Here is a 27766-nt window from a genome sequence, read left to right as displayed (position 1 = left end):
AGAAAGTGCCAATGAGAGTTCTGTAGGCAGACACATTCCTTCAGGGAAGGCAAAGGCGAAAGCCAAGGCAAGCCAACATGTTCCCCCTGGGGAATTCTGCTCATGATATTAAGTGTGGAGTGTCTGCAACAGACTTGATGGCCAAGACTCAGAAAGGCTATCTAGCAATAAGGACAGAGGGTGAGGTGCCAAGAGCAGAATTTTCCAAAACTAGAGCCAAGATCAATTGTAACAATGGCCAAGGGAGGCAGTTGGCTTCTCAGAAGATGAAAACAGACAAAGCCTCTAAAAACAAGGGAGGATGATAAAAGTGTAGGTTAGTTCAGGATCTATAGCAGATAGGAAACCCAATAGAGTATTGGTCACTAAGTGGCCAAGCAAGATTCTAGAAAATAGAAGGCAAGGCATTGATGAAGGAAATTTGCTCTCAAGATTTTCTCACCAACTACCCCCCAACTCCACCCCTAACTTGCTTTCTTAGGAAAGGAGGGTTGTACCAGAAAACAAGTCAGCCTTGGCTCTAATCAGATGCCAGAGAAGGGAGAAAACAAATGAGAATGGACATGTCTTATGCACAGAAACCAAACCAACTTGAGATCCTGATGGGTCTCCCCCAAATCCTGGGTCTGCCCCCTACCCAGGGATCGGCTGTGTGGGGGGACCCCCACCTGATGCAGGCCGAGATGAGAACAAGATAGCAACCGGCTAAGCCCCACTCAGAACAATCTACCTTGCTGTGCTCTCCTGAAAGTTAAAAAGGCAGAAAACTAGTTTTATCTGTAAGAAAATGTTTATTCTTTTGAACCCCACAGGAAAAAAAAAAAAGAATGCAGCCAAGACCAGTATTTAACGAAGTGTCCCAAAAGGCAGCAAAATGGGGGAAACCTCAAAACAAAGTCAGTGACAATTTTCCATGTTTTTGCACAAAGAAGAGAAAATCTATGACAATTCTGAGTAACACTTTCATGGTGACAATTACACAAGATGATTCAAAAATGCAAAATGGCAGCAACATGCACACCTGGCTAAAGCTAGAAGTATTTTTTTTAATCTCAAAATAAGATCTGTGATTTAAAGGATGATTCTTTTTAATACTTCTATTTTACTGACTTGCTTGTCCTACTTAATTTGCTTTAAATGAGACGTACATGCCAATTAACAGGAAATTTTAGAAGAACTATGTCCTTCCAGAATCCATGGCAAGGAAGCAAAACCAATTTATTTGGTTTCTTAATTTTTCCTAGTTTCCAAATACAATTTTGCATTGCCCCCACCCGGTCCCTCCCGCCACCCCCACCCTGATTCTTAAACACTTCCAAAAGTTGCCTGTGCAAACACTTTTCTACCCATGTATAATACACATTTGAAACTGAAATCTTTGTGCAGAGTTTTGAGTTTAAGAGTCTTAAAAAAAAAAAACCCTCCTTGGCACAAGAGCTGAGGAATAGTCAAGCTTCTTTTAAATCATCAAACACAAAATGATGAAAAGTGGAGAAAGCACAGTTAAATGAAATGAAAAAACAAAACAAAAAAAAAAAAACCTAGACCCGCAGCTTTTATTAGCCATCGTTACAGTCTCTCGTCCACAAACACTGCCCAGCTCCCTTCCCAGGGCACTTTACTGGAGGCAAGTGCAAAACACTGTGGTGCTTTCTATTCAAAGAAACAGAAGATGTAGCTGTGGTGGTAACGGACAGCCCAGCTACCCACCAGTTTTACAGCAGGATCCGCAGTGAGCTTGATACAGATAGAGGATAGATGACGGTAAAGGGGGAAAAGAGTTTAAAATTATCAAGTTTCCTCTTGAAATGTCTTTTCCCAAGGCACTGTGAAGAAGACTGCTGCTAGCAATTTTCTAGGACTAAACACACCGATGGGAATATAAATATTTCAAACACAACCCCTGTTACATTCTTACAGCTAGTTTCATCACTTAGGTCTCTTCTTAGCTTAAATGATGCTCCTTGAATCTGTTTGGTCCTTGGAGGGGCAATCCATTTTTGTTTTCTGTAATATTGACAATCACCTTCTTTAATGCAGCTATAACATCAAAGCTCTGTTAGGTTACTTAACCCTTCACTCTTAAACTAAAAGTTTTCATTATCATCTCACGTGAATCCAATGTGCAGGTTTTGCTTGCTTATTTAAGAATAAAACAAAACAAACATAAAGGGTTGAAAAACAAAAACTCTGCTTTTTTTTTCTTCAAGAGGAAACTATGTAAGAATACATAAAAGGCAAAGTTGGCTACTTGAAATCCAAGAATGGTTTTAATGTGTTGGCCGAGAAAAATAAACTGTAAAGTTCTGTGAGGTCTTCTAAAAATTTACAAGAAAAACTGATGGGCAGTTCTAATCAGACTTGGATGTTATCTTTTCCCCCCTTTTTAAAAATGACAACAGATACAGTTCCACAAAATACAATAGAAACTGTTTTTTTATCTTGACTGCCAGAGACGCTCCTTTGCAATGCCTTCCGGTAACCAAATTTTTGGGCACAACACACAGCTGGCCTTCATTTCTTCAGGGGCTGGTAAACAGAGGCATTGGGGTCAAGTCCAGAGGGGCTGGTCTCCACAAATTTGGAAGAGTAGTGGGGGGAAACAGGGCTCAGGGGGCTGGTGGCGGCACTGTATGTTATGCTGGGCATGACGGCCATGACTTCGGCTATCTTCTGTTTTAGGTCCTTGATTTCCTGATCTTTCTGAAGGATTTGTCCTGTAAGATCAAAGACCCACCATTAGTGAAAAGGGAGGCCTCACCCAACACAATGTCCCCAGGGGCCAATCCCTAAGTAGATTCGGTTCAGTGTGAACAGCTCCAGGTTCAGTGATTTATAAGAGCAGGCAAACTTGTCCTGTAATGGGACACAGTAAATATTTTAGGTGTCGTGGGCCATATACAGTGTACTTACTATCTTTGTCATCTTTTCTTCCCAGCCATGGAAAAATGTAAAAACCATTCTTCATCGGCAGGCAGTACAGGCATAGGTGGCAGGCCAGATTTGGCCCATGGGCCACAGTTTACTGATTCTTGGCTTAGAGCTAAGAAGGGATTCTGTTCATATAGGTGTGGTTGATGTAAAGAAGTCAGTTTCCAGGAACCACGTTTTGAACATGGCAGTCAGCTATGACAGCGTAAGAGGGCTGGCGATTTTGAACTCTGGCTCCACCTCTTGAGCTGGAATTTTTTTGAGAGGACAGACTATCTCTGAGTGTCAGACCAAGGAATACAGCATAACCAAGGCCTCAGACTCAGTCACAGTAATACGCTTCTGCCACCAGGTTCTCTGACAAAACAGAGGAAGCTCTGTGGCTGCTGTACTGGGAGGAACGCTAGTGTGACCCACATCACTTGCCCTTGCTTTAGCAACATCACCCTATTTAGCCTTCCAGCACACTTGCCCTCACTACGCTTCAGTTTCTTGATCCAGTCAGCTCCTGCCTACCTCGGGCCACTTCCTGTCCTGTGTATCTCCTGCTTTCTTTGTGAAGCTAGCTAAATCTTGAGGATTCTGTTTCTACTTCCTCAGCAAAACTTTCCCTGAGCCTCCTGTCTAAATTAGCTTCCTACAACTCCTAAATTCTTTTTTTTTTTTTTTGAGATGGAGTTTTGCTCTTGTTGCCCAGGCTGAAGTGCAGTGGCGAGATCTCGGCTCACTGCAACCTCTGCCTCCCGGGTTCAAGCGATTCTCCCGCCTCAGCCTCCTGAGTAGCTGGGATTACAAGCATGTGCCACCACGCCTGGCTAATTTTGTATTTTTAGTAGAGACGGGGTTTCTCCATGTTGGTCAGGCTGGTCTCGAACTCCCAACCTCAGGTGATCTGCCCAACTCGGCCTCCCAAAGTGCTGGGATTACAGGTGTGAGCCACCGCGCCCGGTCTAACTCCTAGATTCTTAACACACCCTCCACTTCCCTTTCTGTCACTTATAATGACAAAAACTAACACATAGGGCTTCATATATGCCAGGCATGCTAAATGCTTATGTATACTAACTCATTTCTTTCTTACGACAACCCCATGATGGGGGAATTATTATTATCCATTTTATAGATGAGGAAACTGAGGCATAGAGAAGTTGAGTGACTTGCTCAAGGTATACAGCTAGTGACAGAGCCAGGATTCAATTCCCTGCAGTCTGTTTCAAATGTACACTCCTACCTACAGCATTCTTCAATCTCTGGCAACTATTCATTTGGTGATGATCTGTGTCCATCGTCTCTCTGCTGGACCATGAGTTCCATGAGGGCAGACACTGTGTCTACCCTTTTTTTTTTTCCATTGTTAGCTCCCTATTGCCCAGTCCAGTAAAAAGTGGAGTTCTACAAGTTGTGTATCTTGCTCAAAGTCATTTAGTTATCAAAAGGTAGGGCAGGATTTAAACCCAGGACCACTTTGTTCCAAAGCCTCACATGACTTTCATCATTCTATGTAGCTTCCTGGTCTTCTAGGGAGACCAGAAGAAAGACATGATTGGTATATGTAAAAGCACTTAGAACACTTAGGAGTAGTCTTTCAGAAACTTAAATGCTGGCCAGGTGTGGTGGCTAATGCCTGTAATCCCAACACTTTGGGAGACCGCGGTGGGTGGACTGCTTGAGCCCAGGAGTTCGAGACCAGCCCGGGCAACATGACAAAACCCTGTCTCTACAAAAAATACAAAAATTAGCCAGACTTGGTGGTTCACACCTGTAATCCTAGCTATTCAGAAGGCTGACGCAGGAGGGTCACGTGAGCCCAGAAGGCGGAGGTTGTAGTGAGGCAAGATTGTGCCACTCTACTCCAGCCTGGGCGACAGAGACCCTGTCTCAAAAAAAAAAAGAAAAAGAAAAAAAAAAGCCCACAAAAATGCTTAAAAAAGAAAAAGGTTGCATTTGAGTTGCATTTATTTTGAGATTGCTCATGGGTCCTATAGAAGACAATAATCTATTTGGAATATAAGAAAGCTTGGCGGTATATTTTTTAAAAGGATGTAGTAGAGATGAAAGCCATTTTGGTTTTGTTTTGTTCATTTTTTTTGAGATGGAGTCTTGCTCTGTCGCCAGGCTGGAGTGCAGTGGCGTGATTGCTACTCACTGCAACCTCCACTTTCGGGGTTCAAGCAATTCTCCTGCCTCAGCCTCCCGAGTAGCTGGGGTTACAGGCGTGTGCCATCACACCTAGCAAATTTTTGTATTTTTAGTAGAGACGGGGTTTCACTATGTTGGCCAGGATGGTCTCGATCTCTTGACCTTGTGATCCGCCCACCTTGGCCTCCCAAAGTGCTGGTATTACAGGTGTGAGCCACCGCGCCTGGCCTGAAAGTCATTTTGGAACCAGGATGTATCAAATGATATAGAGAGTAGGAAGGAGAAAAGCAACAAGAGGTTTGATTTAAATTACAAAGTTGGGTTCTTATTAGAATATCCTGAGCACAACCCTGTAGGGAGGGAGTGGGGAAGGCAGCAGTGAGAGCAGTAGAAAGGAACTGCCCCCCTCACTTCCTTCATGTCCCCTAAGCTTCAAGGAAGCATCAAATATCCACCTTCTCTTTGAACAAGATAAGCCTCAGATGAATAAAATACCTAAAAGCATCTGATATATAAGCCACTGTATCTTTTTCCCTGCCGATTTAAGTTTGATTTCTTTAATCAGTAACAGGAAAACATACCCAGTGCTTTGGAAAAAGTTCTTTTGGCTTCTTTGTCACTTCAGGAGGATTTCTGGGCTGACAGCAGAGCACACAGTCTGAGCTGGGAAGCCAAGCTCCTCTGGCTACTCTGAGGCCAGGTGCTGCTTCACGCCAGGGGGAATCTTTTCCAAGTTTGCAAAACCAAGTAAACAGGGTTGAAGCACTGAGGGGTGGCCACTCCTCAGGGAACTAAGCCAGGCAGGCAAAAAAAGTCAGTGTAAGGTCAGAAGCTCGGCTTCAAAGCAGGATTCCTGGGAACCTTCTTAAATGCCTTTCCTCGAGTCCACAGATTAAAGCAGTGTGATTCTCAAACTCCTTCTCTTGCTCAATCACCTGTGCCATCCCAAGCCACTCCTGCGCTTCACTAACTTCTCACAACTTCTAAATCCAACCCCTTACTCCCAGGGGTTTGGGCCTCCGTCTTTGGTTTAGGCCCAAAGTTCCCACTGACTGAGGAATATTTCCTACTTGGGTTTCTGGGGAGTACCTTCAAATCAAAACATCCAAAACCAAACTTATTCTTCCTTCACTCCTTGTATCTGTTCTGCTCTCCCTTCCTTGGTTCCAACAACTTTGTCCTTCCAGAACTCTCAGGAACCTCCACTCTCCACTCACCTGTCTGGCCCGTCCGCCCTCCCCATACTTATCATCTCTTAGATAGAGGACAGTGGTAGCTTCCTCACAGTCTGTCTCCACTCAGTCTCACCCCTTCCATCGGTCTTTCACATGCTATAGGAGGGAGATTTCCCGCTTAACAGTCTGAACACGTCCCCTCTTTCTTCCTTCAGGAAGATCTAGGGAATACCCTCTCTAGTATGGCTTCGTTCATGGTCCCCTACCCTCCCACTCTTTCCTTCCCTGCCCCCAGCTTAAGGCTGCCGGACTGCTCACCTGAACATCCCGGCACCTTCTTTCCTTTGCTTATACTACTTCCTCAGGCAACATGTTTTTCCCTGGCATTCTCTGCTCTTGAAATTCATCATCAAAGCCCACTCAATGCCCCCTCCTTCACGAGGCCTTCCCTGATCTTCCTCTGGCCTTTCTAGCCCCCTGCCTCTACCTCATGCCTCTACTTTTTTGCTGGGCTCACCCTAGGTCAGCAATTCTCAAAGTACAGTCAGGGTCCACAGGCTCAAAACTACCTTCATAATAGTACTGAGACATTACTTCCCTTCTTCATGCTCATTCTGTCAAAAGTGTAAGTGGAGTCTTCTAGAAATTAGGTGGAGTGTGAAATCACAACAGAATGAATGTAGAAACAGAGATAAGAAACTATCTGGCCGGGCACGGTGGCTCACGCCTGTAATCCCAGTACTTTGGGAGGCCGAGGCGGGTGGATCACGAGGTCAGGAGATCGAGACCATCCTGGCTAACACGGTGAAACCCCATCTCTACTAAAAATACAAAAAATTAGCCGGGTGTGGTGGCGGGCGCCGTAGTCCCAGCTACTCGGGAGGCTGAGGCAGGAGAATGGCGTGAACCCGGGAGCTGGAGCTTGCAGTGCACCGAGATCGTGCCACTGCACTCCAGCCTGGGTGACAGAGCAAGACTCCATCTCAAAAAAAAAAAAAAAAAAAAAAAGAATCAAACTATCTTCTGTTAAGTCAGACATTAAAGAGATCTGCTAAATGTAAAATAATGCCACTTTTTTCAGGAATTTTTTTTTGTTTTGGAAAATAAGAGTTTCAAATTAAAAAGTTATTTATATTAACATGTAATATGTTTGTATGTTATTTTTAAATGAATAATAAATTAATTTGGCTGAGCACAGTGGCTCATGCCTGCAATCCCAACACTTTGGGAGGCTGAGATGGGAGGATCTCTTGAGCCCAGGAGTTCGAGGTCAGCCTGGGCAACAAAGTGAGACCTCGTCTCTAGAAAAAAAACAGAAAAAAAAAAAATTAGCTGGGCATGGTGGCACATGCCTATAGTCATAGCTACTAGGGAGAGGCTGAGGTGGGAGGATCACTTGAACCCAGAAGGTCGAGGCTGCAGTGAGTTGAGACTGTGCCACTGCACTCCAGCCTGGGTGACAGAGCAAGACCCTGTCTTGAAAATAAATAAATAAATGTTTTAAGTTTTAATTTCTAGTAGGTAAATATTGATAGATATAATCCACTTGAAATAAACCTCTTTGGGGTAATAATTTTAAGAGTGTAAAGGGGTCCCTAAGACAAAAGTTCACACACCATGTTGTATTCATGTTTGTCTCCCCCAGAGCTTCTAGGACAATGCTTTGCACAGAGTGTGACTACTCTGTCAGTCCCTGTTGAAATATTCTTTATTTTAGACACAAGGTCTCGCTATGTTCCCCAGGCTAGTCTCAAATTTCTGGGCTCAAGTGATCCTCCTGCCCTAGCCTCCTGAGCAGCTGGGACTATGGGCAGGCACTGACACAAACCACCATGCCTTGCTTGAAATATTCTTCTCTTTCCACTAAGTCAACCATTTGAAAATTCTTTTCAGTACTCTATTTTATGCAGTACTCTATTTAGTACTCTATAGAGTACTCTATTTTTTCAGTACTATACTCAATTTAGTACTCTGGTTGGATAGCTAATCAATTTCTTGGACAAAAATCCAAATTTATTTTTCTCAGGTCATGCCATGCCTCTGTTCAGAAGCCTTCCAGTGCTCCCCTATGGCACTCACGGTAAAACCCTAAGTTCTTTCCATGGGCCTCAAGTCCCATACAGTCTGACTGCTGTTACTCCTGTCTGCTCTGACAACTCTCCCCGTTATCACACAGGCTACAACCCCCACCCTCTGCCTGCAGAGTACCCACGCTCCCCCTGCCGGGCTTTTCACTTGCTGCCCCCTCCCCGGAAGTGCTTTCCTCCAGCTCTTTACACGGCTCACTCCTGCTCTCTTCCTTTGGGTCTCTGCTCAAATACTACCTACTCAAGGGATTTTCCATGATTGCCCTGTTAAAAAGGGAGACCCCTGCCACATACGTTCTGTCTCGCCATGGCTTTATTTCTATCATTGCACCAACTGCCACCTGACATACTCCCTGCTGGCTTGTTCATCACCTGTCATCGCCAGGGCTGTATTTTCAAGTCATCTTATGGTGCTTGGCACAAAGTAGGTCTCAGTAAATATCGGCCAAGTAGATGACCATGGCCTACTCTCCAGACTCTCACCTGCAGCTCCCTCATTTGTATCCTCTGCTTCAGCCAAGCAGGCTGGCTGCAGCTTGGAACACATCAAGTCCCACTAGCTCCCAGCCCTTGCCTAAGCTGTTTCTTCTGTGTGGACCCCTCTACCCCTCACCCTCCACCACACTGCTGCTTCACTGGGCCAACTCCTCATCATTCAGGCCCACCTCAGACATCAGCTCCCCTGGGGAGAGGCCCTCTCCAATTCCCCAGACTAGTTTCGTCCCTGACTCTTTCTATGTTCCCTCAGGCCCCGTATATACTTATACCTAAGCACCTTTTGATGCCTCTGCAGTTCTCTACTTCTTCAACAACACTGTGAGCTCCTTGAATGTAGAAATCATACTATTCTCTGTATGCCCTGCACTTGACATGTTCTCATCTCAAAATATGTCTGCAAATGAATTAATGTGATGGTTCCTATATTTCAATGTTGGGCACTTACCAAGACTCTTGAAGAGAAAACTGAAATGCCCCTTGGTTGAGAGCTCTCAGGAGAGGTCTGGCCTGTGCATCCCTGTGCATTATCAGTCACACCACCTCACCAGGGGCCCACGTTCTCCTACCTTGGGCAATCTCGAGCTGCCGCTTTGCATCGCCCAGTGCGGAGAACAGGTCCAGCTTGATTCTCGTCTCTGCACTTAAGCTGTTCTCCAGGTGCTGTGTTTTGTCTTGCATGGCTGAGAGGGCTGACATTAACACCTCAGTGTCCTTCTCATTTTCCTTATATTTCCGAAGCTCCTATCAATATCATCAAAACAGCAATGCTACAAGGTAGTTTTGGCATCGATGTCTATAAATTAGCCTGAAATCACAAATTAAATCCCACTATTCTTGGTCTGGCCACTAGAACACAAAATCTGGTGTTTCATGGGTTTAGGCAAGTGCTAAATGTGTTTATATGGCAATAAGCACATACAAAAATATTTAGAAGATGATCATTTGACTGTGCTGGGCATGTGTCTAGAAAACAATGGAATCTGCTTCCAAATAAAACACTTTTCTTATAAGCTTAATTCAGAACCACAGAAAACATTTTTCCTTGCTGGCCACGTGCAAATTATCATAATGCTGTAATCGAACTTGCCAAAACTCAACCTGCATTAATAATTGTAAAAATGTTAATTATTTTGACAGGGCATACTGCAGAATAAGCCCACTTTAATGTAAACAATTAATATATACAGATATTTGAATTTTTCTTTTTAACAGAAAAATCCAAACTTATTACAGAGAATTTAGGAATATAGAAAAATTCAAAGAAGAAAATGAAAATTACTCATAATACCAACACTAAAAAATTTAATATTTCTTTTAATCTTTTATGCATATGTGTATCTTTTAGCAGAAGTGAAATATTAAATGTACAGTTTTGTACATAGTCTTTTAAAAACTAAATGATTTTAACTATTGTTTGAAAATAAAATTTTTATTGGCTGTACAATATTCCTGAATGTTTACATACCAAAATTTAAATGACTCTCCCATTGTTAAGACTGTTTTCAATTTTTTTGCATTTTTATACCACTACGATGAACATCTCTGTACATCACTCATTGGTGAGATTTTAAAATTGTTTACCTTAGGCTGGATTCCTAAAAAAGGTAAATACTTAAAAAGTGCAAGACCTTTTCCAGAAAGTTACATTTCTACCAGCAATGTATGAGGCCTATTTTGTTGCATCCTCACCATGATTGATATTCTCATTTAAAAATCATCTGCTAATTTCATAGGAGAAAAATGATATCTACTTTTAATCTGCATGTCTTTGATGATTGGTGAGTTTATATTTTTATGATCTTATCAGTCACCTGTATTTCCTCTGAATTATTTGTTCACATCCTCAGCCTATTTTGCTATATATATGAGCTTTCCTTAGCAACTTTTATGAGCTACGGATATGTTGAGAATATTAATTCCTTATTTATAATATTTGTTGCAATATTCATACCTTCCCCAATCAATTTTTTCATTTATTATTATGATTTTTGCTTTGTGATTTTTTCCCATTGCTTGTATGTTTAGAAAATCTTTCCCTTGTTTCAAGGTCAAGTATATTTCCACCTAGTTTTTAAAAACTCATTTATTCTTTGTTTTTTCTGCCTTCAACTCTTCATCTGGAATTTCTTTATATGTGGCATGAGATGAGTTTCTAATTTTTTTTCTCCAGTTATTTAGCTATTCCAAAGCCTTTTACTGACTAATCGTTACCTTTCCCATCTATCTCTGATGCCACCTTTACTTTTTTTCGTATTTTTTTCGGTACTGTACTCCAGGCCATCATTCTAGTCCACTGACTTGACAGTAATTTTTCACTTGTCCCACCTGGCTCAAATTACTGTAACTTTACAATATATGACATTAGTTTAAATGACAAATATTTGGCTAAAGTATACACAGCCCATAAAACAGGCTACGTCCATAGCACTAGCACCTTTCCTATCATTCACTGCTATGAACAACAATCTGCAAGGCTCAGAGCCATGCAGGAGGGTCAGTCCCCTGGCAATAGAAAGAGGGTTGGGGCTAAAAGGAGGTGTGTAAGTTTCAAAGGACACTAATCTGGCCTATAACCTGAAAAAGTTAAATGAATCTACAGCAAGTTAAATCCTGGTATAAAACATACCAAGGGATTGTCAACATTTCTGGTTTGTATTAGAATCTGGCTACATTAATATGACTTGAAATGAGCTGGACAAGATTAGAACTTCAAATCTTTTTGTCACATAGAGATTTTTCAGATGCAATGAGATTTGATCTATATTAAAAGGCATCATCTCTACACTGCAACACAGAGCACAAGTTTAGCATAAAAGTGGAATTCAAATACAAGGGAAGTCTTTTGTTCCCCCCTTACCTGGACTTTTAGTTCTAGTTCTCTGATTTGGTCTTCTTTCACCTTCATGTCCATCGTGAGCTTCTTGCCCTCTGCTTCTAGTTCTCTGATCCGATTCCGTAAGGTTTCGGTGCATTCTCCCCTTTTGAAAAAGAAGAGAAGGAAATAAAGTGATTTAAAAGACTATAGGTTGGGGCTGGGCCCTGTGACTCAGGCCTGTAATCCCAGCACTTTGGGAGGCCGAGGCAGGCAGATTATTTGAGGTCAGGGGTTCGAGACCAACCTGACCAGCATGGTGAAACCCCGTCTCTACTAAAAATACAAAAAAAATTGGCTGGGCATGGTGGTACATGCCTGTAGTCCCAGCTACTGGGGAGGCTGAGGCAGAAGAATTGCTTGAACCCAGGAGGTGGAGGTTGCAGCGAGTCCAGATCGTGCCACTGCACTCCAGCTTGGGCGTCCGAGTGAGACTCCATCTCAAAAACAAATAAATAAATAAATAAATAAAATTTTAAAAAAGACTATAGGTTGGCCGAGTGCAGTGGCTCACGCCTGTAATCACAGCAATTTGGGAGGCCAAGGCAGGTGGATCACTTGAGGTCAGGAGTTCAAGACCAGCCTGGCCAACACAGTGAAACCCTCTCTCTACAAAAATTAGCTGGGTGTAGTGGCACACATCTGTAATCCCAGCTACTCGGGAGGCCGAGGCAGGAGAATTGCTTGTACCTGGGAGGCAGAGGCTGCACTGAGCTGAGATGGTGTCACAGCACGTTAGCCTGGGTGACAAAGTGAGACTCTGTCTCAAAAAAAAGAAAAAAAAAAGACTATAGGTTTACTTGTATTGTGGGATTTATATTTCTTTTAATTTCTTTTATACTCCAGGGTCTGTCAGGTTTTAGCTTTTGGCTCAGTCTGCTCAGTTCTCTGTGTCCTTTGATAATTTCAATAATACTCTAAAATAACTGGGCTGGGCATGGTGGCTCATGCCCGTAATCCCAGCACTCCCAAGGCCAAGGTGGGAGGACTGCTTGAGCCCAGAGTCTGAGATCAGCCTGGGCAACACAGAGAGACCCTGTCTCTACAAAAAATTTAAAAAATAGCTGGGCATAGTAGCACATGCCTGTAGTCCCAGCTACTCAGGAGGCTGAGGCAAGAGGACAACTTGAGCCCAGGAGTTTCAGGTTATAGTAAGCTATGACTGCACCATTGCACTCCAGTCTGGGTGACAGAATGATATCCTGTCTCAAAATACATACATATATACAATAATTATTACTGAGTGTCTAGATGAGCCAGACACTAAGGTACTTTACCCATACTACCTTCTTCAATCCTTATAACAACCTAGGGTATATTTATCCCATTTTCCAGATAAGAAAACTGAGGCTACATAGATAAAATACTAGTTCAAGGTTACCTAGCTTTTAGGTCTTAGAATAGGGATAAGAACTGAGATTTTCTGGCTTCCCAATCCAGCAAACTTCCCACCAGGCCATGAGACTTGAGACAATACACACAAAGCCAGATAGAACTGAACATGTACTATGTCCAGCAGGGGGCGGTGAACTAGAAAAAAATTTTCCCCCCACTTTTGAGGGGCTACGCATTGGGACTTTTGTCTTTCTTGTCATAAAGTTGCCACAAGACTGGAGTAAACAGAAAAATAAGGGCACACTGTTGAGCTGCTTCTCAGGGCTATCATAAGGTTGAGCTAAAAGAGATGATGGCAATGGCCAGTCCAAAGCTGGTACTGTCTAGGTTCCAGAAACAGCCCAATGAAGAAAGTAGGTGTTCTCTGCCTACCAAAACGGAAGGTCCAGTCAGAGATTTATGCCCTGAGATTTACTGAATAAATTATGGCAGGCCTGGTGTGGTGGCTCACGCCTGTAATCCCAGCACTTTGGGAGGTCAAGGTGGGCAGATCACCTGAGGTCAGGAGTTCGAGACCAGCCTGCCAAGATGGTGAAACCTCGTCTCTACTAAAAATACAAAAAGTTGCTGGGCACGGTGGCAGGAGCCTGTAATCCCAGCTACTTGGGAGGCTGAGGCAGGAGAATCGCTTGAACCTGGGTGGCAAAGGCTGCAGTGAGCTGAGATCGCGCCACTGCACTCCAGCCTGGGTGACAGAGTTAGACTCCGTCTCAAAAAGAAGGAAAAAAAGAATAAGTTATGAAAAACAAGGACTATCCAGGGATAAGATAAATAAGCTTAACTGGAAGCAAAAGGGATTTGGGGTAGACACTGAAATCAACTTACTGATTCTCAGGCATGGGAGACACTAAGCAATATCGTTAAGGAACTGCTATGTCCTCCTGAGTGGAATTTTTCAGAAAGGGCAGGTGCTGTATGAATTGAGGAGAGAGGAGAGCAGTCATCACTAGATGACTGTTCAAGAACATCTCCTGCAAGTTTAAGTGCTTCAGAATGCAAATACATCTTCAAACAAACAAACAATCCCACATTGTAGGCAGGCTAGTCAAGGGCCTTGTAAGTCTGTATAGATGCTGATGGGCCAAGCCAGCTCAGCCATCTGCTGGGGGGAGGCAGGATCACACAGGAGAGAGTTCTCACTTGCTGTTATTTCCTAAAAGGTGAAATGATTCACCAATTATTCTGCAAATGCCAGAACCCACAAAGAAGGCTATCAACATGCCAAAAGTTAAATTACTTAACTTTAATTACGACAAAGCAAAATTCAAGGAAAAATTACAGTTGAATTATACCACGTAGATACAAATTAGGATGGAATTTAAAAGTGAAATAAATAATAATTTACCCTCGCTCTATATCTGCAAACACCTAACTGATTCCCACATGCAGAGGGACTTCACTAGTCAAGAAAACAAAGGAAAAAGTGATAAGTGAAGTAGAAGCAAAAAGAAAAAAAAAGCTCTTAACTATCTAATAGTTTTTGGAATACTTGCACACAGGGGTACTTTCCAGTGGTATAGGAGGTAGTCCCCAATTTTCATTATGCCATAAATGTAATTCCATCTAGTAGAGACTTATGTTTCACTTTTTTTTTCCATTTCATTTGACAGTTTGCTGATATCCATTTGAGCAGCCAGTACACAGTGCTTGGGCAACCAAGATTTTATCTTTCTTCCATTTTAAGATAAAAACTTCAGAAACACATATACCTAAGAGTGGAGAGTAATGATAGCTCTCTAAAGGGAACGAACTTCCAGATAGAATCTCTCAATGCATTTAGTAATCATCAGTCTGACAAAAAGTGACTGGAAACCTTTTTATGAGCAGTACTTTGCCTCCCAGGTATGGGAAACATGGTGATTCCCTCATCCCACTTTATAGATGAGGTCACTGAGGGATAAAGCTGTTATAAGATAGTGCAAGCTTGCACACATGGAGTTTAAACCAGTTAATAAAACAGTACTTAAAAGCAATCCATCCGTGCATGATTGCTGTACGTCCAATCCTGCCCAAGGCACCAAATTCCCATGTCTTTGTTGGTAAAGGAAAGCCAACCTTGGATTAAACACTCAGGTGACATGGACATACCTAGATGCAGCAGCAAACGCAACAGCCCGGGCAGCAGTGGCTTCTTCTAACTTCTTCCTCTTTTTCTCTTCCATTAACTGTTTCTCTACAAAACTTCGGGCTTCCTGCTCAGCTTTTAGCTTTTTCTCCAACTGGCTGATATTCTGCTTGTCTTTTTGCTTCATTTGCACAGCATTATGTAACCTATATGGAAATGATTGTCATATAAAGTCTTAAAATTACAAATGCCCACTATAAACCCTTGAGAAACATCTCTTTATCACCTTAAGGCCAATTAAACAGGAGGTTTGAACAGCAAATCAAAAATGTCAATGCCCAGAATGCCTGAGGAAAACACACTGTTATTCTTTAATAATTCCTAAACACCAATAAACAAGCTGCCTTACAAAACAGAGATTAAGACCTAGCCTCTGCTCTGTTCAAGTAAGTGATCTACAAAAGGTCATCCAGAAAACAGGGTAAAACAAATTTTGAACAGAGGGGAAGATAATTGTAGAACTAATTCTAATGTTCCAGAGCACCCTGAAAGAACTTCAGTCCCACCAAAGAACCACTGATGGGACCAGCCCCAGTGAAACTAAGGTAAGGGGTGGAAAGGGGAAGGTTTTTATTTTTCCTGAATACAATTTTGCTGTAGCCTACTACAGCTTTTCCTTTCCAGCTCAGGATGTTTGCTCACAGTGTCCCCAAATCCTCTTTTAGAGTCACAGGATGCTTAATTTCAGATAGAAATTTCAGCCATATTTCCTGCTTACTACCACCCCCAGCTTTACCTATCAGCATGAGGTGAGTTTATCACTGGGATGTTCTCTACATATCAATGCTAGAACCACCACAAATGCTGGTCAGAGGCAATGGAGAGGTTATTTGCCTGTAATGCCCTAGCTTTTGAGTTACATTCCTTAAAAATGTTGAACTCCTCTTTCAACAGGGAAAGCCCAGAAAGCCAACAGCCTGTAATGATCATCACTACCACGGGCACACATTGCTGGGAGATTTAAAAAAAGAAAAAAGGACAGACCTACACTGAGTTAAGAAGTAATTCCAGAATGAACTAATCAAAAGCCTAAATGAATTCACACAGAAGACCTGGCTTTCTGCCTGCCTTTTCAAATAAAATCAAAGTTCAATGTCATCTTTTAGTTCTGGAAATAAAAGTAAATATAGTCAAATCCTCTAGAAATTTTCACTCAAAGGAGCAAAATTTTCAAAATGTGACAGAACTACTTCTTGTCAATTTTACTATCCAAAAACTCAATAACTATTTTAAACTAAGAAGTTATTAAATGAGAGAAGACAAAAACAGTAATATTAATAAACTGTTTTGTGGCAATGAAATAAGTTTTTATAGATTTTATAAACATGTTGAATATCTGGTACTAAATAAAGTATTTTAAACATTTTATTTAAAAACCTCTCAGCAGGTCTCTGTCACCATAAATCTTGTGCTCCAACCCCTGGCAACAGGAGAAGCAGTGAAGCTGCCGGGCTTACGGCCAAAGGCCTGAAAGGTGCACGTACTTGTTCTGCAGCAGCTCGTTCTCCTGCCGAAGCTGGCCCATTTCTGAGCGGATCCCTCGCTCGGTGCTCGAAAGGGAGCTGATCTGACTGCGGAGCTCTTGTTCCACTTGTCTGCTGGCTTGCAGGTCAGCCTTTAACTTTTTAATGTCTTGTTCCAGCCTAGGAGAATGAGAAATGCAGCATTTTCATCTAGGTGAGGGCACCCACAGAGCTGGGAGGGACCTGGTGGGGGTCCTGGACTGCTGGGTGAATGGCAGAAAAAGGACCCCGCTGGCAGTTCCTGCCATGATGAGGACTCCTGTCTGCAACTGGGTTAATTTTGTTGAATGATTCCACCTGGGTCCCTACCTCTTCCTACTGGGGTGTAACTTTCAACTTCCCCCTGTTTATGAATAGTGACAGGTGAGTATGGTGCTTGTGAATATCCATCCGAGCTGCTGATAAAGGAGAAAGGGACAGCAGAGAGGGTGGCTGAAGACTAAAGGCTCCCTTCTGGTGGCTTTTCATGCCCTCAGCAAGGGAAATATGTTCAAACAACTAGCACATGACCTACCACTTAATGCTTTGTGATATTTTGATAAATCAGAATCTACTGTCTGAGACTGCGTCCCACCATGGGCCTAGAAGAAAACGGTCTGCGACGACCTCCAGAAATTGCAGCATCCTTGCTGAATGACGTTCACAACTCTGGTGATTGCGGCAGAAGAGCTCACGAGACTCAATAACAATGAAAAAAGGAACAAATTACATGCTCTAAGAATCATAAGAGAACTCCATCTGTAAAATGAAGCCTATCTTTTCTCGTCAATTCCTTACTCTTGTTCCATCTATTTTCTTTACTGCAGTAATAGTTTCACTTTAAGTGACAGGTATTGGAGACCTACTATGCATATGTAGTGCTGAAAATGGTCAACAAAAACTATCGGCCAGGCGCAGTGGCTCATGCCTGTAATCCCAGCACTTTGGGAGCCCGAGGCAGGCGGATCACCTGAGGTCAGGAGTTCAAGACCGGCCTGGCCAACGTGGTGAAACCCCATCTCTACTAAAAGTACAAAAATTAGCTGGGCATGGTGGCGCGTGCCTGTAATCCCAGCTACTCAGGAGGCTGAGGCAGGAGAATCACTTGAACCCAGGAGGTGGAGGTTGCAGTGAGCTGAGATCATGCCACTGCACTCCAGCCTGGGTGACAAGAGTGAGACTCTGTCTCAAAAAACAAAAAACAAACAAACGAAAACTATAAAATCAAGTCTCTTTCTTCATGGGAAAACTTCACAATTAGGAACAAAGAAATAGGAACCAAGAAATACATAATTTAAATGATTAAACAATAAGACAAGGAAGGCCATGATTAAATATATGCCAGAAGGAATAATAACAACAGCTACTATTTAATGAGAACTTATGGGCCAGGCACTGTTCTATAGGGTTTAATCCTATAATCTGTACAACTATGGGCCAAATGCAATTCCTATTCCCATTTTTACAGATGAAGAACTCTAGGCTAGGAAAGGATGCAGCCCAAGGTCATCCAGGCAGTCTAGCTCCAGAGTCCATTCTCTTCACCATTAGGCCAAACTATAGCCATGTCATCCACAGCATGGTAGAGGAAGAAGTGCTATGTGAGTCTGAGGAGAGAAGACTGGGAAAGGCTTTGCAGAGCAGGTAGAGATTGACTTGGGCCCTGATGTTTGGATAGGATTTGGAGAAGTAGAAGAGGAGGGGACATTCTAAATGAGGGGAGAAATGTATTAAAAAACTCAAAGGCAGGAACAGCCATAGACATGTGCGGGCAAGCCATTAGTCTGGCTTCTGAGAAAAGCTTGTACTGGGGAGAGAGTAGGAAAGGATAGAACAGATCTGGTAGATAGGACTGTGGAGAGTGGTGCTGAAGGTCAGGTCAAGGATGGCTGCCATGTGAGCTGCAGTTGAGAATGAAAGAAAAATTAGATCTACAGAGGCTGGATCTCAATAATTTTGTAGTTATTACTTTCATTTTTTAAATCTCTTCCTACCACAAACTAGGAATAACAATATTTATTTAGAAGAGGCTTTTTCCATCAGGATACAAACTCACAAGTAGGTAAAGTCAGTTTGCTCTGATGAGATTCTTGTTCATGTCACTAATTCAACATACCAACAGAACCAAGATTTCTGAAGGGCAATGGTGATCTCTTTGGAACTGTCAGCTCCAAAGACTAAGTCTTAGAGACATGTTTTATTAAGCACTAAATCCCCAGAGCCCTCCACAGTGATCAACGCTTACTCAATAAATGTTGCCTGACATAGGGCAGCTTTATTTACATATCTACCTTTAGGCAACTTTAAAAAACCCCCAAAACCCCAAATCATAAAACACTGACAGTCACCCTGCAGGTGCAAGTAGCCAGTCCTCCTGTCCAGTGCCTGGGAGCATGGCCTAGAAACCTTTTGTTCCAAAAGCACCGCTGGGTGTCCTGACAGCTTGCTCCCCAGGGAAGGGTCACAAGTCGACATCACACCACACTTTCCCTATTGCCAGAGTTATTCCAGTTGAATGTACTCTCAGAACTGCTCTAAACAATTACAGATCGGCATTTATACCATCACCATACTGTCTCTCATTCACTCCTAAGTAGCCCAAAGAATATATTCCGAAAGAGGTCAATGCTGTCAGGCTATCCTCTTTGAGAAATTTGGCTGAAAATGTGTTAGGTAATTTGTCTTTCTTCAGAAGCTGATTTCACAGTCTGAGGATTGCATTTTCAGTAGAAAGGGTGAGTTTTTAGGTGAAAATAGGGGCTAAGCCTGGTTTAGTAACAGAGTTTAGGATCAGGGTTCTACATTCAGCTCTGGCGCCAACTCTCTGACCCTGCACAAGGTGTGTAATCTTCCAGGCCTCAGTTTCCTCATCTACGGCTGATAACTCTAAAGTTCCTCCCAGTTTGGGCTAGGATTTCTAGGCCTGACACACTTACAGATGGCTGCTGATTTGCCTCTTTAGATTAGCAAACTAAGCTGCATCATATGCAGATGCACAGGAATCAAGTTCCACACAACCAGTCGCTGGGGAAAAACATATGCCACAGTTGGGAATGAAAGAAAAATTAAATCTGTAGAGGCTAGATTGTGAGAATTTTGTAGTTGTTACTTTCTTTCATTTTTTAATCTTTTCCCACCACAAACTAAAAATAACAATATTTATTCTGAGCGAAATTTTAGAGTTCCTTGAAAAATGTAAAAATCCAATGAGCTAATGCAGTTATGAGACCAAAAAGCATAAAATATCTAGATTATAACTTCTGAAGACCAAAGAACATGAAATATATATATATATATATATATATATATATATATATATATATATATTTTTTTTTTTTTTTTTAACCAAGTCTCACTCTGTTGCCCAGGCTGATCTCAGCTCACTGCAATCTCCCCCTCCTGGGTTCAAGCAATTCTCCTGCCTCAGCCTCCCGAGTAGCCGGGATTACAGGTGCCCACCACCACGCCCAGCTAATTTTTATATTTTTAGTAGAGACGAGGTTTCGCCATGTTGGCCAGGCTGGTCTCGAACTCCTGACTTCCTTCAGGTGATCCACCCACCTTGGCCTCCTAAAGTGCTGGTATTACAGGTGTGAGCCACCGTGCCCAGCCAACAATATATTTTTTAATGTGAAGCTTATATAAAAATTTTATCAAAGACTAACAGTGGCACAATACAACAAAAATAAAATGAAGTGGTTACAGGAATGTGTTCACTTTGTGAAAATTCATAAATGGAACACTTGATTTGTGCACTGGTGTGTATATATGTTATACTTCAATAAGAAAAGGTTTATTTAAAAAATAAAATAATCTCATAAGACACAGAACTAAAATACTTCAGGATTTTCATAACTGCTACCATGAATTTTGTAAAACTGAATTATTTTCCAAATTGTGAATTATTTTCCAAACTGCTGCAGCAAGCCTGAGAGTTAACACCAGCATTCCCAGTTTAAGAAACACTGCTCTACAAGAACACTGCCCAATGGCTAATGGCATGCAGGATAACATAAAACAGTAAATGGCAAAATTCTCAGCAATTTTAAAAAATTTATGATGGACAATTTTTCATTAGCTGTCTACAGAAAGCATTAATTTGCCTTGAATGTCCATTATATATTTTAAATCTTTACTAAGGTAGGCAGCAAAATGATTTACCACCTGCATTGAGTTTATTTTTGATACCCAGTCACAGTATCAAAAACTGAATAAACAATGGAAAAGTATAAATAAAAATATAAATAACTCATAATCCTCTTATCCAGACGAACTGCTCACTATTTGGTGTACCTCTTTTCTGTATGTTTTTTTCTATTTCTTCGTACATGTAAATATATTTAATATTGGTGAGAGAGTACCACATATACAGCTTATAAATCACAAGTACCTTCTCACACTATTAGACATTTTCCATAAATAATTAATTGCTGACTAATATTCCATTGTATGGACGTACTATACAATCCTATTTTCTAAGATATATCTCAATTTTTGCATTTGCCCAATAGAAAAATGTATGTCATGAGTTTTGAAAGAATTATGTGTGGCCAGGTGCAGTGGCTCAGGCCTGTAATCCCAGCACTTTGGGAAGCTGAGGCGGGCAGATCATCTGAGGTCAAGAGTTCGAGACCAACCCTGCCAACATGGTGAAACCTTGTCTCTACTAAAAATACAAAAAAAGCAGCTGGGCTTGTGCCTGTAGTTCCAGCTACCAGGGGAGGCTGAGGCAGGAGAATCGCTTGAAGTCAGGAGGCAGAGGTTGCAGTGAGCCAAGATCACACCACTGCACTCCAGTCTGGGCGACAGAGAGAGACTCCATTTCAAAAAAAAAAGAAGTATGTGTTAGCAAATTGAACTGAATCAAGATAGTTGAGTGCTAGAAGCATTTATTAAACAGATAACTACTATTTGTCTTAATGGCATACTTAACCCTTTGGTGCTGAAGTTCAATACTTTATAGGTAAAATACAGATATATAATTTATTAGTGTGAAGTACAAAGAAGTTTTTATTAAGTGGTGTTAAAAGGTTAATGCAAAATCGCCAAATGTATTAATATGATTTTATTAAAATGTCATTAGCTGAAACCTAAATTAAAAGCAATGATCAGGAAGAAAACGAGGCAGAAGTAATAGATTATAAGCCTTGAAACTAATCTCAGCAGACAGGGATAGAGAGAATGGAGGAAAACATCAAACCCCTTTTATCTGAGTTAAGGGCCACACTCTTCCCTAGACTATAGAATTTTAAGGGATAAAAGAGTAGTTTTCTCCAGAAGAGCTACAATCTCATTTAAAAAAAAAATAATGGGCCAGATACATCTGGACCAAGCTTTAATAAGGCTTAGTCAGGAAATAAATGCACTTCCTTCTTGCCTAATTCTTGTGGAACCAGTTTTCACCCTTACAAAGGCCTGCCCTGTGGCATCACCACTTTGGACACAGACAGGGCCCATGGCAAAGCTGGAGTTTATATGTACAATAAATATGTCCATTTTTGTCCAACTGAACAAGCCAGGGTTCTAAATTATTACACATCAGGTCCAGGCAACTTTTCCTACTCACTTTACTGATAATTTCAAAAGATAGCACTCAACTTCTAAGGGAGTTGTGAAGCTACCTCTGAATCCTATTATCTAACTCACAGCAAGAGTTGGGACCCATACAGCAGCACTTTCTCAGGTCCCTGTGTCAGATGCCAGGCTGACTTCAAAGCAAAAGTGTCAAGTTTAAGGATCACTCTTACTCCAAACCTTAACTATATCTCACCTTCTCCCTAATCCTACCCAATTAAGATAAACTGTAATGTAAATGATTAATAATTATTTAAATTTAATTTTAAGAGGAAGAGATTTACATTTTAATAAAGGGCAATCTGCTAATTGACCAAAGGAATGAAGTTCAAATGTTAGCCTTTCAGACAGGCTAAAGAGGAAAAATATCTTTGAGTATCTGGAAGAACACCTGGTGGTAAAATAAATACAGTATTTATTTATTGAAAAAATTTTTTTGAGACAGAGTCTCGCTCTGTCGCCCAGGCTAGAGTGCAGTGGCATGATCTCGGCTCACTGCAACCTCTGCCTCCTGGGCTCAAGTGATTCCTGTGCCTCAGCCTCCTGAGTAGCTGGGATTATAGGCCTGTACCACCATGCCTGGCTAATGTTTGTATTTTTTGTAGAGATGGGGTTTTACCATGTTGACCAGGTGGTCTTGAACTCCTGAACTCAAGTGATCTGCCTGCCTTGGCCTCCCAAAGTGCTGGGATTACAGGCCTGAGCCACCACGCCCAGCTGAAACACAGTATTTAAGTATTAGCTTTTAGTTGAAATGGGTATTGTTTTTAAGTATCTGAAAAGGTAGGGAGATACTATGTCTAAATGTTTGTAATTCTTATCTCTTGTGAATTACCTGAATTACAGCCCACACCACTATGCCTTCACTGAAAGTTTAAAAGTCTTCAGTGGCTACTGCCAATAACTTCATGGTTTTAAGCCTGACTTCAGCTTTATGAGGCCTGACTGAAAGCATAGGGGAAGTTTAAGGCATCAGGGCAGTAAATTTCCCCAGGAATCAAGTCTTATAAAAAAGAAGCAGACCTTTTTCTCAGCCAAGACTTCACCTAGGGGTGACTATGAGTCACAGCCCATACCCATTCCAGAAAACCACCTAAAGATATATGTCTGTGGGCTGCAGGTTGGACCCCATGAACCCCTGGGGATGATAAGGAGCCTCAGCTTTGCTGGTTATCTATGAACTCTAAAGAGCAAGTGACAGAGAGGCTCTAGGCTCTGCAATACAGAATTTACCCTGCTGCTTGCTCTGTAGGAGAAGGGGCTTCAAAAAGTCATCTCCAAATTATACAGCCAACTAATTGAAAGGTAGGTTTTCTAACAAACCCTTCACATCAGCCAAAATGACCCACTCCTTGTTTTCCAGACATTTTCTGCCTTTTACTATGTTACCTCTTTGGGAGGAATGGCCTCCATTTTTCAATCTTACCCATTCTTCAAGGCTCAGTTAAAAAACAACAAAAATTAAACTCTCCAGCACACGGTGCCCAATATCTCTTCTCCTTCTAAAACCCTAAAGCTCTCCATGTTAGTGTTTCACATTTGGCATCAAACCATCGCCCTGTGCTGGGCTTCTTTTTGTTGCTGCTGTTCTGATGTTTAATCTTTTCCTGTGACTGTATTGTATTTCTAACAAGACTATAAGTTCTTTGAAGCCAGGGACTGTGCTACAAAATTAGAAGCTGGGACTGTATTTCTAAAGTTTCTTCCAATCCTTATAGATCATGTCACTAATCTTCACTCTGTGTCTATCTCCTCAGTGCTCACAATGGAACAGGGTCAGTGTTACGACATAAGAGGCTCTGGAAACCTATCTACAGCAGACCATCTGATTTTTAATTTAAATAGTGGCTGAAGGGAACAGGGGTAAGTGGGCATTTGCTTTTAAGGAAGGCAGGTGCACATGAAAAGAATTAATGAAGAGCAACTGCTTCATCTCGATTAGTACCTAGTTCCATTAGGAGTTCCCCTGGTACACATTAATCATACAAGACAAGACTTGTTTAAGGACCACACAGCTGTCTGTGCAGAAAGTTGAGCTCATAAATCAAAGCTCTGTCCTCAGAAGAAATACTGATTACCCTCTATACCAACTCCTCCCTCTCTCCTTTCCAGGTCACTCACACTGACAGGACAGGTAGCTTGGGTCATTCACAGAAAAATGTATTTTAAGAATATGGTAGATATATCCCATCTTAAGTGAGGCCTACACTAACATGACCCTGCTTCAGTGTAGCAGGTATAAACCACAGATTTGGAAATACTGACATGAAGCTGCCTCTGGTGTCACTGTAGTGACTACAAGGCATAAGTGTACAAAAACAAGCAAGAGCTTGATGACCTGATTACTAGGTGAAGCCATGTTACAAAGTACTTTATGTCTCTGCTCCATAATCTGTCAAACACAAAAGGCAAACACATTAATTTTCCTAAAGGAATGCAAAGAGAGACAGAAAAGAATTCTAGAGACTTTCACACAACTGGTCATTTAGGGAAATAGGGTACTTACTGACTTCTTAAAGTTCTTCAAGAATAAAGCTGTGAGTGCCAAGAACTAGTCATTTTAGTAAGGTCCATAAAGGAATCTAGTCAGATTTGACAAGTGTGTATCAGCAGTCATTAATATTCATATCTTATGTAAAAGCTTGTCTGTTGTAATAAGAAAAAATCAGAAGCACTTAGATAGTCAACAGAAGGGTGGCTAAATTACAGTACATTCATATTTGATTGTCATTAAAAAATTAAATCATTAAAAAATCACCAATGAAGAATATTCAATGACATGGAAGAATGCTCATGATAGAGTCTGTGAAAAATAAAAGCTACAAAACATACATAGTATGAGCTTAATTTTGTAAAAAGAATATATATGCAAGAGAAAAATGCTGGGAGGATATAAAATAGTGGTTATCTCTTCCTTTTCAAAATCAGATATAATATGCATAACTTATTTTTAACATTTTAATTATTATTCGATAATTTTAAAAGAGGATACTACTAACCTGCTCCCCATTCTGTTCCGCATTCACTGACACTCTCAGATTTGCCCATGTAACAGGGCAGTTTCAGAACAACCCAAAACCTTAGGGAAAATCCAAGTCTCTTACTTTTTTTCCTTTTTTTTTTTTTTTTTTTGTAGAGCCTGGGTCTTGCTATGTTGACCAGACTGGTCAAGCTAACTCCTGGACTCAAGTGATCCTCCCACCTCGGCCTCTCAAAGTGTTCAGATTACAGGCGTGAGCCACCATGCTCAGCCAACATAAACTTTTTAGGTCACTCCAAAAAAGGGGAACTTTAACTTTCTGATACAGAGAATGCCTGTTTTTTGTTTGTTTGTTTTTGAGACCGAGTCTCGCTCTGTTGCCCAGGCTGGAGTACAGTGGCACGATCTTGGCTCACTGCAAGCTCTGCCTCCCGGGTTCATGCCATTCTCCTGCCTCAGCCTCCCGAGTAGCTGGGACTACAGGCACCCGCCACCTTGCCCGGCTAATTTTTTTGTATTTTTAGTAGAGATGGGGTTTCACCGTGTTAGCCAGGATGGTCTCGATCTCCTGACCTCGTGATCCGCCCGCCTCGGCCTCCCAAAGTGCTGGGATTACAGGCGTGAGCCAAGTGCCCGGCCGAGAATGCCTCAGTTTTTAAATCTACCTCAACTACTTCCTATTCATCTGCTCCTATCAAAATAATAGTTTTTCTAAATTTAGATTCTCTAGCTGCAGTTTATTGTCCTGTTTGTCCTGCTCTCTTTGGAAAGATCTCTTGGTTACGTACAACACTGACTGCAGGAGAGGAGGCACTGCTCTGACTTGAGACTTCACTGTACCACACGCTACAAGAAATGGTGCTGCGAAGTTCAAATTCTAAGCCAACCCTGTGTCGTCTGTGAAGAAGCAGGACCCACATCCTGAGTTTTGGTGTATTTTGTGCTCTGAGAACACAGTAGAAAAATATCTTGATGTAGAAGAAGTTACCAGTCCTAGACACAGATGGAGTAAGCAGCTCTCTGCACAGTATAGTTTGAGGAATGCCAGAAGGCCCCAAACCACCCTTATCACAAGGCTGTCCCCTCTCCTTCTAAGCGGTATGAAAGCCTCACAGTCAGGTGTGGGAATTTAACAGTAAAGGGAGTGGTGTTTCACTCTAGAGAGGTACCATCAACATGGCCTATTTTCTAGGAGCACAGAAGACTGAAGAAGAAAAAGCAAAAAGGTCCCATTAATATATGGCAGATTAGTTCATAGGATTTACCAGGTATTCCCTAATAGAAAAGTCCTTGCTAAAGGAAAGTCAAGTTTTCACTGGTGGGGCCAGAGGGCTAGAGGGAGCAAAACACAAGTATAACAGAAAAAGTGAGGCACAGAGGTTGCAAACTGGTGAGCCAATATAGCCCATAAACATGTTTTGTTTGACCCTCCTCCTACATGATGTTAAAAAAAAAGTTTTTTAACTGAGAGGTTTCACGTAAAGATATTTTCAGCATCTCCCCAAAGTATCAGAAGACTTGGCAACATTGGGCCTACAATCCCCCATGGCAACAACTGGCTGTCCCCTTTGGAAGGGTTTATGCTCCCCAAATGCTAGGTGTCAGGTTCAGTACTGAATGAGAATGATGACAATGCCAGACTCCAGAGTGCTCACCCTAGCCTGCCTCACTCACTCCTGTAGGAGTCTGAGTCTGCAATACTTGCTCTGGAGCAGAGTGTGGGGGGAGTAATGGTCCTTTCTAATTCATTAATTTGTGTTTCTGTTTTGAATCTATTGGAACACTCTAACAAGAAAAGTGAAATGTACCTTGTGATAGAGGAGAGTTGTCATTCTACCTATAAAAAAGAAACTGAAAGTTGGTTTTAAAGATCTAAGAGGTACCCAAGAGATTTGCAAAGATGAAATATACCCACATTGGCTGGCAAAGTATCCAAATAGCCAGTTTCTAAATGATAGCATGAATAATATTTAAAGAATATGGTTCCTTTTCCTTGGGGTTACCTTCCCTTCAGGGAATCCACCCCTAACCCCCTTAGATGAAAAACTAAATTCATTATATGCCAACAGAGGTACTGACTCAGAATTTAACACAAAGCCTTTCAAAGTTTTGTAATAGTTCCTTCTCAATTCTAGGGAGTAAACTTTCAAACAGCCTATCTAGAAATCAGTTTTGATAGAATGAACTCTCGGGACTCAACATAAAAATTTTTTTTTTCATGTTTATGTAGAAGCCCCCTCCCCAATAACCTACATGTTACTTCATAATTTATCCATACACCATAATCACCTTCCTGTTTGGCCTCTTAGATATGGAGACATTCGGTAAACTGTTTGCTTAAATTCACTTATGCCTAGTTTCTAAAATGCCACGTTTTTCAAGCCACAAAAAACCCTGTTTAAGTATAAAATCATGCCTCTATTACCACATTTATATCCCAGAATACGATAGTTTTAAATTCCTGCAATGGTTAAAATAAACTCAAACT

The 27766-nt window shown here is 41.6% G+C and overlaps 1 protein-coding gene across 3 annotated transcripts in view; it reads right to left on the bottom strand.

The window, feature by feature from the left end:
- Positions 1-771: 771 nt before the first annotated feature.
- The window catches only part of MACO1 (macoilin 1), a 69313-nt gene continuing 42318 nt past the window's right edge, over positions 772-27766 (bottom strand). For 2 of the 3 annotated variants that reach the window (NM_018202.6, NM_001282564.2), the window contains 5 exons: positions 16707-16865; positions 15186-15368; positions 11688-11808; positions 9397-9571; positions 772-2717 (listed from right to left, as the gene is read on the bottom strand). In NM_018202.6, the coding sequence (NP_060672.2) occupies positions 2515-2717; positions 9397-9571; positions 11688-11808; positions 15186-15368; positions 16707-16865 (841 nt within the window). In that variant the 3' untranslated portion in view covers positions 772-2514. Of the gene's footprint in view, positions 2718-9396; positions 9636-11687; positions 11809-15185; positions 15369-16706; positions 16866-27766 lie in introns of those variants that run through there. The other variant, XM_005245931.3, reaches the window with a different exon arrangement.

The sequence above is a fragment of the Homo sapiens genome, chromosome 1, assembly GCF_000001405.40.
Source record: "Homo sapiens chromosome 1, GRCh38.p14 Primary Assembly".
NCBI lineage: Eukaryota > Metazoa > Chordata > Mammalia > Primates > Hominidae > Homo > Homo sapiens.
This window is presented reverse-complemented; position numbering and strand designations above follow the sequence as displayed.